We start from the raw sequence: 14,400 nt of genomic DNA, 5'->3' as shown, positions 1-14,400 counted from the left end.
CTGAGAGGGACCCCATCCTCTTCAGCCACAAACCCACAAATGACACCATTTTGAGCATTTAAAGACATTGTTTGGCCACTTGGCAGTGGTGACCACAGCAGACATTTTAGGCTCAGGCCAGAGTTTGCAGCATTTGCTCTGGAAAGGCAGAAGGGCACCCACAGTCAGAATTGAGTGGTGAATGCAGAGAGTTCCCCAGCAGTAGGCACTGGAATTAGTCTTTTTCCTGTCACAGGCCTGGAGCAGGAGGAGAGTTTCTGAAGCCAAAGTTTCTCCTGGGTGGTGAGGCTTGTAGCCGGGGACAGCTTTGCAAACTGGAACTAGTCTGTGGGTGTCAATCCTGGTGTCCCAGCCTGCTCCCTTGGCCATTTGGGGAACAGTGCCCCATCAGCTCCAAGAAGTAGAATGGAGGCAGACCCCACTTTCCTTGGAGATCTAACCCTCAGCACTATCTGCCCCTAAGGGAAGGGGGAGCACAGCTCACCAAAGCCCCCCTTGGGTCAAAGAAAATGCAAGCATGGCACCAACTACTGAAGGTGGCATCACCAAAGCCCAGGAATGGACGTGGAGAGGAGGTCATCTCTCACCCCCACCTTTCTTCTCAGTGTAGTGTTGCAGACTTAGCAGCAGCTCTTCCTATCAGGGCATGGGGAGCATGGGTTGAAAGAGACAGCTTCTCCAGTGTCTCCACCACCACTGAAGGTAAATGTGTGCTGGGAGAGGGCACGATTCACACTTCCCAATTTTTCTCTGCCCCTGCCCCTAGCTGCCAGCTATTACTCTTAAATACCACACACTAGACTGCAGCTTGAATTACACCATCAAACAAAACCACATTGCTACAAAAAGCAATATCTGAGAAAGCCACCGCAACCTATCTGTAACCAATGAACCCATAAAGAGCTTAGGCACCCTGAAAGCACCAAGAAACAAAGCCAATTGATCATACACAACATACACCATAGCCATACCCCCAAGAAAAAAAAGAAAGAAAAAATCAAGAATCCCTATCCAAATGATGGCAAATTCAAAGGGAAGAAAAGAAGTGTCAACTCCGTCAGATGAGAAGGAACCAGTGTAAGAACTCTGGCAATACAAAAAACCAGAGTGTTTCATCACCTCCAAAGGATACCATTCACTCACAAACAATGTATATTAACTAGAATGAAATATCTGAAATGACAGGTGTAGAATTCAGAATGTGAATGGCAAGGAAACTCAACAAGATTCAAAAGAAATTTGAAATTCAACACAAAGGCGCCAGAAAAAATGATCCAAGATTTGGAAGATGACATAGCTGTACTAAGAAAGAATCAAAAAGAACTTCTGGAATTAAAAAATTGACTATAGGAATTTTAAAATACAGTTGGAAACCTTAACAATGGTCTAGACCAAGCAGAAGGAATTTTAGAGATCAAAGACCAGTTTTTTCAATGAACCACTCAGACAAAAATAAAAATAATTTTTAAAAATGAACAAAGACTTTGAGAAATAAGGGATTATGTAAAGTGATCAAATCTATGACTCACTGGCATTTTTGAGCGAGAAGGGAGAGTAAGCAACTTGGAAAGTATATTTGAATATAGGAAAATGTCCCCAATCTTGCTAGAAAGGTTGACATGCAGATACGAAACCCAGAGAACTTTGATGAGATACTATACAAGGCAACCCATCCCCAAGGCACACAGTCATCAGTGTATCCAAGACTAACAAAAAAGTAAAAATCTTAAAGGCAGCTAGAGAAAAAGGTCATATTATCTATAAAGGGAAGCCCATCAGACTAACAGCAGACTTCTCAGCTGAAACCTTACAAGCCAGAAGAGACAGAGGTTCCATTTTTAGCATTCTTAAAGAAAAGAAATGCTAGCCAAGAATTTCATATCTCACCAAACTAAGCTTCATAAATGAAGGAGAAATGAAGTATTTTCCAGACAAGTATTTGCTAAGGGAATTAATCACCACCAGACCAGCCCTACAAGAGAAGCATCTCCTTCAAGAGTTCTAAATATGGAAATAAAAGAATGTTACTTGCTACCACAAAAGCACACACACGTCCATAACCCACAGATCCCATAAAGTAACCCCTCAATTGAAACTACAAAGCAACTAGCCAACAACACTGTGGCAGGAACAAAACCTTACATATCAATTATCAATTAACCTTGAACATAAATGACCTAAATGTTCCACTTAAAAGACATAGAGTGGCAAACTGGATTAAAAAATAAGACCCATCCTTCTGCTGTCTTCAGGAGATTCATCTCACATATAACAATACCCATAGGATCATAGTAAAGGGGTGGAGAAAGATCTATGACACAAACGGAAAAAGAGCCAAGTTTGTTATTCTTGTATCAGATAAAATAGACTTTAAACCAAAAAATTTAAAAAAGGACAAATAAGGGCATGACATAATGATAAAGGTTCAATTTAACAAGAAGATGTAACTATCCTAAATATATATGCATCCACCATTGGAGCACCAAGGTTTATAAAACAATTACTTCTAGATCTAAGAAAAGACTTTGACAGCCACATGATAATACTGAGGGACTTCAACACCCCACTGACAGCATTAGACACACCACTGTGGCAGAAAACTAACAAAGAAACAAAGAAATTCTCGGCTTAAATTTGATGCTTGACTGATTAGACCCCATAGACATCTACAAAGTACTCCACCCAACAACCACAGAATATACATTCTTCTCATCTGCACATGAAACATATTGTAAAATTGACCCCATGCTTGGTTATAAAGCAAGTCTCAATAAATTAAAAAATATTGAAATCATACCAAGCATCTACTCAGACCACAATGGAATAAAAATAGAAAGCAACACCAAGAGGAACTCTCAAAATCACACAAATATATGGAAACTAAACAACTTTCTCCTGAATAACTTTTGGGTAAATAACAAAACTAAGGCAGAAATTTTAAAAAATTGAAACAAATGAAAATAGAGACAAAACATACCAAAATTTCTAAGATGTGACAAAGCTAGTGTCACTAGGAAAGTTTATAGTGCTAAATCCCTGCATCAAGAAGATAGAAAGATCTCAAATTACTAACCTAACTTCACACCTAAAGGAAATAGAAAAACAAGAACTAGTCCCAAAGCTAGCAGAAGAAAAGAAATAACTAAAATCAAAGCAGAGCTAAATGAAATTCAGACCCCATAAAAAATACAAAGGATCCACAAAACAAAAAGTTGGTTATTTGAAAATATAAACAAGATCAATAGACCACTAGCTAGATTCACAAAGGAGAAAATAATATCCAAATAAGCACAATCAGAAATTACAAAGTTGACATCACAATCAATCCCACAGAAATACAATTATCTTCAGAGACTACTATGAATATTTCTATGTAAACAAACTAGAAAATCTAGAGAAAATGGGTACATTCCTGGAAACTCATAATCTCTTACAATTAAACCAGGAAGAACAGAAATCCTGAACAGACCAAAAATGACTAAAGACATTGAATCATAATAATAATTGTTTAAAAACCTATCATGCAGAAAAAGCCCTGGATTACATGGATTCACAGCTGAATTCTACCAGACATACAAAGAAGAGTGGTACCAATCCTACTGAAACTATTCCAAAAAATCAAGGAGAAAGAACTCTTCTCTAATTCATTCTACAAAACCAGTATCATTCTGATATCAAAATCTGGCAAAGACACAACACCAACAACAAACTTACAGACAAATATTTCTGATGAATATAGATGCAAAACTCCTTGATAAAATACTAGCAAACTGAATTCAGCAGCACATCAAAAGTTAATTCGCCACAATTAAGTGGGCTTTATTCCAGGGATGCAAGGATGGTTTAACATATGCAAATCAATAAATGTGATTCACCACATAAACAGAATTAAAAACAAAAACTATATCATCATCTCAATAGATGCAGAAAAAGCATTCAATAAAAATCCAACATCCCTTTATGATAAAAAACCTTCAACAAACTAGGTATCAAAGGAACATACCTCAAAATAATCACGGCTATCTATGGCAAACCCACAGCCAACATCATAATGAACAGGCAAAAACTGGAAGCATTTTCCCTAGGAGCTGGAACAAGGATGTACATTCTCACCACTCCTATTCAACATACTGGAAGTCCTAACCAGAGTAATCAGGCAGGAGGAAAAAATAAAAGTCATCAAAATAGGAAAACATGAAGTCAAATTATCTCTCTTCATTGATGATATTATTCTATACCTAGAAAACCTTAAAGGTAATGCCAAAAGACTCCTAGACCTGATAAACAGGTCTTTAGCAAAGTCTCAGGATACAAAACTTACGTACAAAAATTAGTAGCATTTTTATAAACCAATAATGTTCAAGCTGAGAAACTATTAAGAATCCAATCCTATGTAAACAGCTACAAAAAATACATAGGAATACATCTAACCAAGGAGGTGAAAGATCTCTACAAGGGGAACTACAAAACGTTGAGGAGAAAGATCATAGACAACACAAATGGAAAAACATCCCTTGCTCATGGATTAGAAGAATCTATATCATTTAAATGTCCATACTGCCCAAAGCAATGTACAGATTCAATGCTATTCCAACATCAGTATTCCCAAAATGAGAAAGAACTATTCTAAAATTCATATGGAACCAAAAGAGAGCCCAAATAGTCAAGGCAATCCTAAGCAAAAAAGAATACAGCTAGTGGCATCACATTGTCCAACTTTATACTTCACTACAAGGTTACAGTAACCAAAACACCACAGTACTGGTACAAAAACAGGCACATAGACTAATGGAACAGAATTGAGACCCCTGGAATAAAGCCACACACCTGTAACCAACTAATGTTCAATATAGTCAACAAAAATAAGCACTGGGGAAAGGATAACGTATTCAATAAATGGGGCTGGGAAAACTGGTTAACCATATGCAGAAGAATAAAACTGGACCCCCGCCTCTTAACATATAGAAAAATTAACTCAAAATGGGTTAAAGACTTAAATATAAGACCTCAAACTATAAAAATCCTAGAAGAAAACTTGGGAAATACTCTTCTAGACATTGGCCCAGGCAAAGAATTTATAACTAAGCCCTCAAAGCAAATGTAACAAAAACAAAAATTAAAAATTGGGACTGAATTAAGCTAAAGAGCTTCTCCACAGCAAAACAAACTATCAACAGAACAAACAGACAAGCTACAGAATGGTAGAAAATATTTACAAACAATGTATTCAACAAAGGACTGCTGTCAAGAGTCTATAAGGAGCTTAAACAAATCAACAGGAAAAACACAAATAGTCCCAGTAAACAGTAGGTGAAGGACACTAACAGATACTTCTCAAAAGACATACACATGGCCAACAAACATAAGAAATGCTCAACATCACTAGTAATTAAAGATATGCAAATCAAAACTCCAGTGAGGTACCATCTCACACCAGTCAGAATGGCTACTATTAAACAGTCAAAAAATAACAGATGTTGGCAGTGTTGCAGAGAAAAAGAATTGCTTACATACTGTTGGTGGGACTGTAAATTAGTTCAGGCATTGTGAAAAGCAGTTTGAAGATTTCTCAAATAACTAAAAATATAATTGCCATTCAACCCAGCAATCCCATTACTGGGTATATACCCAATGGAAAATAAATTGTTCTACCAAAAAGACATTTGTTCTTGTGTGTTTATTGTAGTGCTATTCACAATAGCAAAGTCATGGAATCAACCCAGGTGCCCAACAATGGTGGATTGAATAAAGAAAATATGGTACATATACACCATGGAATACTACACTGCCAAAACAAAGCACAAAATCATGTCCTTTGTAGCAACATGGATGCAGCTGGGGGACATTACCCTAAATGAATTAACACAGAAACAGAAAACCAAATACCACATGTTCTCACTTATAAGTGAGAGCTAAACGTTGGATACACATGGACCCAAAGATGAGAACAATAAACACTGGGGATTCCAAAAGCAGGGAGGGAGGATGGCAAGGATTGAAAAACTACCTATTGGGTACTATGTTCACTACTGGGCAATGGGAGCATTAGAAGCCCAAACCACATCATCATGCAATATACCCATATAAGAAACCTGCACATGTACTCCCTAAATCTAAAATTTTAAAAATTATAAAAGTATTTAGAAAAAAATAAATTATAGAGAAATCTCATGTACCCTTTACGGAGTTTTTTTCAATGGTAACATCTTGCAAAACTAGCAAAATATTGCAACCAGCATATTGAAACTGATATAGTCAAGATACAGAACATTTCCTTTCCTTCATGTTGCCGTTTTTTAACCAAGCTTACTTTTCCCTCACCCTCTCCCATTCCTTAGTTAACCTCTGGCAAACATGTATCTGTTATTTATTTCTATGATTTTGTCATGTCAAGAATATTATGTAGTAGAATTATGCAACATACGAGACACAAATGTGAGCAAGGAAAAACAAAAAGTTTTGTGCTAGACCCTTAAAATTAGGCATAGAAGGAGGAAAGTCTCTTTAAAATAGTAGTAGCAGGGACAAGATCAGCATTTAATGCTCAATTTCATGTGAGGCCCAGTTGTCTCATTATTTAATAACCTGTTAAACACACACACACATACACACACTAGAATTGCCATAGACTAAATGCTTGCATCTCCCCAAAATTCATGTTGTAACCTAATCTCCAATGTTGCTATAGATAGAATATTTGTGGTTCTCCCAAATTTGTATGTTACAACTTAACTTTCAATGTGATGGTATTAAGAGATGGGACTTCTAGGGAGGTGATTAGATCATGGGAATGGAGCCCTCATTAATAAAGTTAGTGCCTTTACAAAAAGGACCCCAGAGAGCTCCTTTGCCCATTCCACCATGTAAGTACACATGAAAAGATACCCATCCATGAACAAGGAAGCAGTCCCTCATCAGACACCAAATCTGTTGATGCCTTGATCTTGGACTTTGCAGCTTCCAGAATTGTCAGCAGTAAATTTATATTGCTTGTAAGCCATTCCGTCAGTGGTATTCTTTTAGAACAGCTTGAATGGACTAAAACCAGGGTTTTATACACATATGCACACACATTTCAAATATATATATTTTGAAGATTTATATATATTAAGGGATATATATTTTTTCAGAAGACCCTAAGATATCTTGTTCTCCATGATATATCTGACCAACTATCACCAATTACTACATAATCCTCCTCTTCTCTGTCACTTTTTGACCAACTGGATTCTTTTACTCATTTATAGAAGATCATGAAGAACTTGGCTCCTAGTCTTAATCACTAAAAGTCTTGACATCCTCCAGGTAGACTTCAATATCCATGGAGGCAGTTCCTCCAATACCTAAATTTCTGTGTTCCTGAAGCTTCTTGGCTTTAGAGAACTGTAAGAGTAATCACTTAGCCATTCAACTTCCTGTCACACTGCCAAACATGTGTAACCACACCTTCTCTTTCCTATTTCCTCCTTTCTTCTATTAGCCTTTTTCCATATGAATTAAAATGCATTCAAGTATCTCCCATATTACAAAAAGGAAAATTTTTGGAGCCTCTGATTCCCCCTTTAATTGCTGTTCTAACCTTCACCTATTCCCCACCCCTACCAATTAAGTTTCTCAAGGGTCCTCTTCCTTCCCATGTGCACTTTCTCCACTACCACTAACTCCTCAGCCAAGTGCTTATTTTGTTCCTCAGGATTATATCACTAGCAACTTTTTCTTCTTGCTTTATACTTCATCCAAGGAAATGTCACAGACTACAATGACTTCAGCTGCCATTTGTATTCCGATGTTTCCTAAATCTATTTTTTTTTCTTTTCTTTTTTTTGAGATGGAGTCTCACTCTGTTGCCCATGCTGGAGTGCAGTGGTGTGATCTCGGCTCACTGCAAGCTCTGCCTCCCAGGTTCATGCCATTCTCCTGCCTCAGACTCCCGAGTAGCTGGGACTACAGGCGCCCACCACCACGCCCAGCTAATTTTTTGTATTTTTAGTAGTGATGGGGTTTCACCGTGTTAGCCAGGATGGTCTCGATCTCCTGACCTTGTGATCTGCCCGCCTCGGCCTCCCAAAGTGCTTGGATTATAGGCATAAGCCACCGGGCCTGGCCTCCTAAATCTATTTTTCTAAGCCAGATCTTTCCCAGCTTCAGATCTATATATTCAACATCTCCACTTGGTTGACCTAAAAGGACCTCAAACCTAGACTATTCATACCTAAACCCATCTTTTGTCTTCTAACTATTTCTCCTATTCTGGTCAATACTTCAGTGAATGAGATCAACAGCCATGCAGTTGTACAAACCTGGAATGTAACATGTAACTCCTGGTTAAACCTACCTCTTTACCTCCCACAGTCAATCACTATTACTGTCAATTATAGGCCAAATTCATTGACTTTTCTCCATCTTTATTGTTAGTAGCTTATTTCAGGCCACCATTACCTCTCACCCAGATCACTGAACAGTCTTTCTTTATTTTGTTATTTACCAGTTATTTATTAAGTATCTACTATGTACCAGAGACTGTTCTAGGCACTTGTGATACCAATAAACACTTATAAAAATCTTTGACTCTTGGGAGGCCAAGGAGGGCAGATCATGAGTTCAAGAGATCAAGACCATCCTGGCCAACATGGTGAAACCCCATGTCTACTAAAAATGCAAAAATTAGCTGGACCTGGTGGCACGCGCCTGTAATCCCAGCTACTCGGGAGGCTGAGGCAGGAGAATCACTTGAACCCAGGAGGCGGAGGTTGCAGTGAGCCGAGGTCGTGCCACTGCACTTCAGCCTGGTGACAGAGCAAGACTCCATCTCAAAAAAAAAAAAAACTTTGACTCTATAAAGGTTACTATATACTAGGTAAGGATAGACAATAATCAATGAACATAATAAATGAGTAAATCATATATTATTTTAGAAAGTGAAAAGTACTATTACAAAAAATAATTCAAACAAGAAAGAATTGTATGGTAAATTTAGTCCTAGAGTAAAATGACTGGCTGTTAAAGGAAAAGGGATGTTCAGAACAAACCAGAAAGTCCAAGCAAGTCATGAACAGCCTGTGTAAGTGACAATAAGAGGATTTATTTTAAAAAACTCAAAAACTTTTATAAGATCTAGTTCTCTATGATTAAAGGGAAATTATAATGGTCTTTCTATAGATCAGGTTTTATATTTAAAAAACCACTTATACGCTGAATAATAGAATTGGTTAGAACAATGAAATTTTCTTAAGGGGTTTATTTAATTTTAATAAATTATAAGATATTTTAATTTTTTTATTTTAACCCAAAGTTCAACTTTTATTGCATCTCACGGGTTTTGGTTTTCTCTCCCCTTTTAAAAAACATGAAATAGTAACAATACCCTTCAACTCATTTTCAGTTCCTATAAGTTTTTTTTTTTCCTCCTCAGGTTCTGTTTCTTGTGGCCTTATGCTAGCAATGTTTTCTTAAAGGTCTAAAGGAAATGTCTTCTTCCAACATAATATTCTGTGCACTACAAAAGGTCTTCTCTTTTGCCTTTTGGTAACTGGACTAACAGATTTTAAGTTTTATCAAAATAATTCCTATGCATTATTATTAAGTTTGGTTTGCTCAGGAAAAATTGAGAATAAAAAAATTTTAATTAACGTTATTACTTCCTTGCATCTTCCTGTATGTGCTTTTAAAGTCCTTGTGACATTGAGCTACAGGGCTTTGACTTCTGGGTCTAAAAAGAACACCAAGTCCTGCTAAACTTAAGCTCTGACAGCAATTAAAGCCTCATCTTCAGGCCTGGTAGAAGATGCCAATCAAAATTAACTGCATTCCTGAGACACAGGGCCAGAAATTAAAGCCATTCAACTCCTCAAGGCCCAGGGACTATCTTGGAAGAGGTGGGCATATGAGATTGTAAGGGCCAACTTTAAAAGATAAAGTAAGTTCACTTTCTTTATAAATTAATCATTAATGTCAAAAGCACACTGATGCGAGACCAGCATGTGGGCCCCTATGTCAGATTAACAAGGTTTTCTTGAAGCATTAACCTACTCCTTCATAAAGGTTATAAAGACTTACAGAAGTTATATCTTATGATCAGGATGAAAATGTTATAGATTGTTTATACAATTTTGGAAAATAAATTTAATAGGCTTCTTGTTGTTTTTATTAGGGCTTATTGTTTGGAAAATTAAGTCTCCTCTCTCATAGAATGAAGGTTTTGCCTTTTTAAGAAAATCCTTGAGTTATCACTTTGGTTAAATGAATGATTTATTTTACAATGACCTGTGATCCTATTTTGTAATATCAAGTGTTTTAAACCTTTGATATTTGACAAACTTTCCAAAATCAAATTATAAATTATGTCTTTTTCTGACCTTATTAATCCTTTAAGATATTACTAATAGGTTCCCTATAGTCCAAAAATGACGTGTGTAGCTTATTTGGTATAAAAATTATACAGGAAGCATTGTCAAATATAAAATGGTGTTTGGTTTCCTTTGGGCTATATTTGTATAAATATGTTATTGGCATGTATTCCAAAATTACGGGAAACTCCTATAATTCTGATATGACTTAATGCCTGTTATCAGTAATAATTATAATCGTTATGTTAAAAAAATCAAACAGAGTAAGGGGAATGCTAAGAGGTGGGAGTGGGGATGTGTCTGGTGTTAAATCAAGAAGATGAAAAAGACTTGAAGGAAGTAAGAACTACGTGGAAGTTACATGAAAACCTGGAGAAAGGGAAGAAAAAGAAAACAGCCAGTGCAAGGATGTCTTGGACCAGGCCTAGTGAGTTTCTGTGCCCTTTATTTAAATGAGTCCAATAAAACACTGTGCCAAGGCATTTGGGCCATACACATGCTACATGAGGAGCTGCTGAAGGTAGAGTACCATATTCACATTTTCATTTTAGAAATAAAATTTCAGATTCTTGAACACAAACATGATATCCTGTATTTCTGTATCTTTAATTCCTAGACCAGTGCCTGACACACAATATACATTTAACAAAGGTTTTTTGAATGAGTGCTTAGAGCAGGCTGAGACTGGAGGCAGGGAAATTAATTGGAAAACTATTTCAACAATTTAGATGAGCAATGACAAAGTATCGGTCTAAAGAAAGACAATGTGGATGGAGAAAAAAAGGATAGACTTGAGAGACATTTTGGAGGTAGGATTTATAAGACTTAGTGGCTGATCAGCTTGTGGAGGGAGTTTTAGCTTGATTGACTACACAGGCTATGGCAACAATTATTAAGACTGGAGAGATAAAAGTAGAGAATTTGTTTCCATTTGATTTTGTATGCTTGTTTTGTTTTTGTTAGGGGATGATGGTGAGACAGATGATAAATTTGGTGTGTGTGTTTTTTGTTTTGGTAGTGCTAGTGGAAGACTTAGATGGAGATATCCAATGAATAGCACATATTCAAGAGTGGGGCTGGAAAGAGGTTTCACTTTTGGAAGGACATAGCAGAGATTCTCAAATGTTAGCATGCTTAAGAATAAACTGAGGAGCTTGTTAATACTTTGTAATCTTAGGCTCAAACTGAGATTTCAGTAGTTCTGAGTATGGCTCAGGAATCTGCATTTTACACACAGGTATAAGAACAGGTATTCTGGGCAGAAGGCTCCCAGACTTCACTTTGTGAAACACTAATATTGGTAGTGGGTAGGACCTGGGCAAATGAATTAAAAGGTACAAGCATAGAAGAGAAGAGGATCAGAGGAAGAAATCTAGAGAACACATATTTATAGAGAGGGCCCAGGAAAAGAAACCTTCTGAGCTGTGCTCTGAAGGCTTTTTTTAACCAGTTCATATTACCGGCTGAATGCCCTAGACTGTGGTGCTTCTTGTTTGAAGCTTGGAGGTAAGTCTGTGTTAGACAAAGGTTAGAAAGACACTTTTAAAGGTAGTTGGGTTCAAATGTAAACGGGCCTCGAATGGCTAAACAAAGGAATTTGTTCTTTATACTGTCAGTGGTGAAAGTATTTGATCAGGACCAGAAGATGATAAAAGCAGAGTTTCTGAAAGATTATGTTTGTACTAAATGGTTGGGAAGAAAAGAAACTGGAAGCAAGGTGAGTTAAGAAAAACTTACAAAGGGAAGAGCCAGGAGACACTAAACTACTTAAAGAATAAGAAAACCCCTGTGAAGAAGGCAGAGGACTGAAACAGAAACTTAATTAGTTTGAAATCTCAGAGGCCAAGGGAGGAGGAGAGAATTTTGACGCAGGATGGTTACAGTGCCAACTAGTACAGAGATGGCACAAATCCATCTGCCATTTTTTAAAGAAAAACAATAATAATGTATACATTGCCATTTAAAATAGTAATAATAATATATGCATTGCCAAAGGGATTTATGCTGAACAGTGAACCCCTGATCCACATTCTCCTGCTAAGATGATATGCTTTTAACTTTTATTTCTTGCCATGATAAAGGGGGTCATTCAAATGAAGTCACCGTGACCTTCTGTGAAATTCTTAAAAATGAAACTTCCTACCTTTGTGTGGTCTTTTGAAGCCAAGTAAATGATCCAGAAAATTAAGATAAATGTCAACATCAGCAGTAATTTTCGAGCTATGGCATTTGGAAACAAAGTGAGTATCCTATAAGAAAGGACAGGAGAAATAATCACATTAAATCAAATAAGTACGACATGGCTCCGTACACTTTGGTTCCTCTTCAGTAATTTCCAGAACAAGGTGATGTTATCCTGGGTTTTCCAAAAGTTCCTTTATATCTTCTATTGTCAATCAGAAACAAAGTGTTTCCCTGAGGCAGGGAACAAAACTCCTAGAAGGACTCCTGGTTTCTGATACTCAGGTTAATTCTTTGGGTTTCGAATCATATCACATACTGGAACCTGTTTTCTTGTCGAGGTCTCAGCATGGACAACAAGGTTTTAGATTATTTACCAGAAAAAACAGTACCCCCACCCCCACCCCACCCCCACCGTGTCCTCTAGTGAATCCTGGTCTCTAAATCTCTCTCTCTGATACACACACACACACACACGCACACACATGTTGTCTGGTACCCTCTCTCCCTGGTCTTATCTGCCTCAAGAGCTTCATTATAAACCACCCATTTACTTTTTTAGGCAGCTTGTTGCCACCCCATGTTATCTCCTCAAGCCAAAGCAGTTGATAAACACTGCCAAAAAGAGTGAAAGTTACAGTCTTTAAAAAACTCAGTGTTGAGTGGTTAGAATTTCAGTGTTAGTTTTTAAAACCCAGAATCCCAAAAGTATGTGGCAAAGAGCTAAATTATGGCAATCTTTACCAAACATTTTTGACCAGGACCCATAGTAAAAAAAATAAAAACAAACAACCCCCCCACCCCAGAAAAAAAACATCATACCAAATCCAACTCAGGACACATGAATGCATACACACAAACACACACACACACATACACGCCCCAAAACTCTCATAAAACAATACTATCTACACTGCACACAATGCACTGTGATTTTTTTCTAGTTACTGTTTTATTCCATTGAATTGTATTCCATTTTAAAAGTATTTTTATGCCCAAATAAAACGATTTTACTATCCTCTAAAGGGTTGCATCACACCATTTGAAAAACACCAAATGGTCTATAGTTCTCCCCTCCCTTCCCTGACGTTAGCTTGGCAGTAAGAGTTGGAAAGTACCACACCTATGGATGAGTATTTTCTCCACCATCTTCTCGTGTTCTCACAGGAATTATAGTGTCCAGAGACTCTCCTTGATTAAAGCAGTCTTTGCATTTATCTTAGGGTTGGAGTTTCCCTATGAGCTTCATTGATCAAAAGCTGACATCCTATTTGTGGCCACAGCGTGCCAGCTGGAATCATAAACCTCCCTTATTATGATCTGTTCCTGCCCAACCCACACCACAGAGCCAGAAGGAAAAAGCCATGAGGAAGCTCTGAAGTTTGTTTTTAGAGACTGGACATCTAATTGCAGCACTGAGTCACCTTTGGTTAAGGCTTTACGTGTTTATAGACAGAGTGCTCTTCCCTTGCTCATGCCTTTGTATGGTTTTCACGTAGGATTAGTCACCTCCACAGTAGCAGGAAAAGTAACTGAAAAATCAGAAAGAAGAAAAACAGAAGCCCTGAGTCCACGGTTCCTGAAGGCCTGAGAATTGATTCAGCTGGGTCCTCTCAATTTTTGGAGTGCTTTCTTTGTAAACTTTCTCTTGCTCTAAACCATTGCATACATCAAGCAGTCCCACAGCGATGATTTAAATTCAATCTCAGGCCATAAGAGGAACAGCCACAGGTCTAAATCTCACTGCAACTTGAATATGTAACAAGGTAAGAGAATCCAAAAGAGCAAATTCTGTGGATGTAGGTCTCATGACACTAAGGATTTTCAGTGGTCACACTGCAACTACCTGCCAGGTGGCCCTGCTACCACCATA

General features: G+C 37.4%; 2 protein-coding genes across 10 annotated transcripts in view; one reads left to right on the top strand and one right to left on the bottom strand.

Annotated features, from left to right (window-relative positions):
• Window positions 1-14,400, bottom strand: part of NXPE2 (neurexophilin and PC-esterase domain family member 2) — a 349,427-nt gene that overhangs the window by 121,451 nt on the left and 213,576 nt on the right. For 4 of the 8 annotated variants that reach the window (XR_001747769.2, XM_017017212.2, XM_017017211.2 and 1 more), the window contains exons 1-2: window positions 13,651-13,725; window positions 12,490-12,595 (exon numbers count right to left, since the gene is read on the bottom strand). Coding sequence is in view for 7 of the 8 variants with exons in the window: in XM_017017212.2 (XP_016872701.1) it covers window positions 12,490-12,595; window positions 13,651-13,676 (132 nt within the window). In the remaining variant the exon portion in view is untranslated. Of the gene's footprint in view, window positions 1-12,489; window positions 12,596-13,012; window positions 13,251-13,650; window positions 13,726-14,400 lie in introns of those variants that run through there. The other 4 variants (XM_017017209.2, XM_017017207.2, XM_011542604.3 and 1 more) reach the window with 2 other exon arrangements.
• Window positions 14,002-14,400, top strand: part of NXPE4 (neurexophilin and PC-esterase domain family member 4) — a 107,660-nt gene continuing 107,261 nt past the window's right edge. For both annotated transcript variants that reach the window (XM_047427150.1, XM_047427148.1), the window contains exon 1: window positions 14,002-14,293. The gene's annotated coding sequence lies outside the window, so the exon portion shown is untranslated. The remainder of the gene's footprint in view (window positions 14,294-14,400) is intronic.

The sequence above is a fragment of the Homo sapiens genome, chromosome 11 (assembly GCF_000001405.40).
Source record: "Homo sapiens chromosome 11, GRCh38.p14 Primary Assembly".
Lineage (NCBI taxonomy): Eukaryota > Metazoa > Chordata > Mammalia > Primates > Hominidae > Homo > Homo sapiens.
This window is presented reverse-complemented; position numbering and strand designations above follow the sequence as displayed.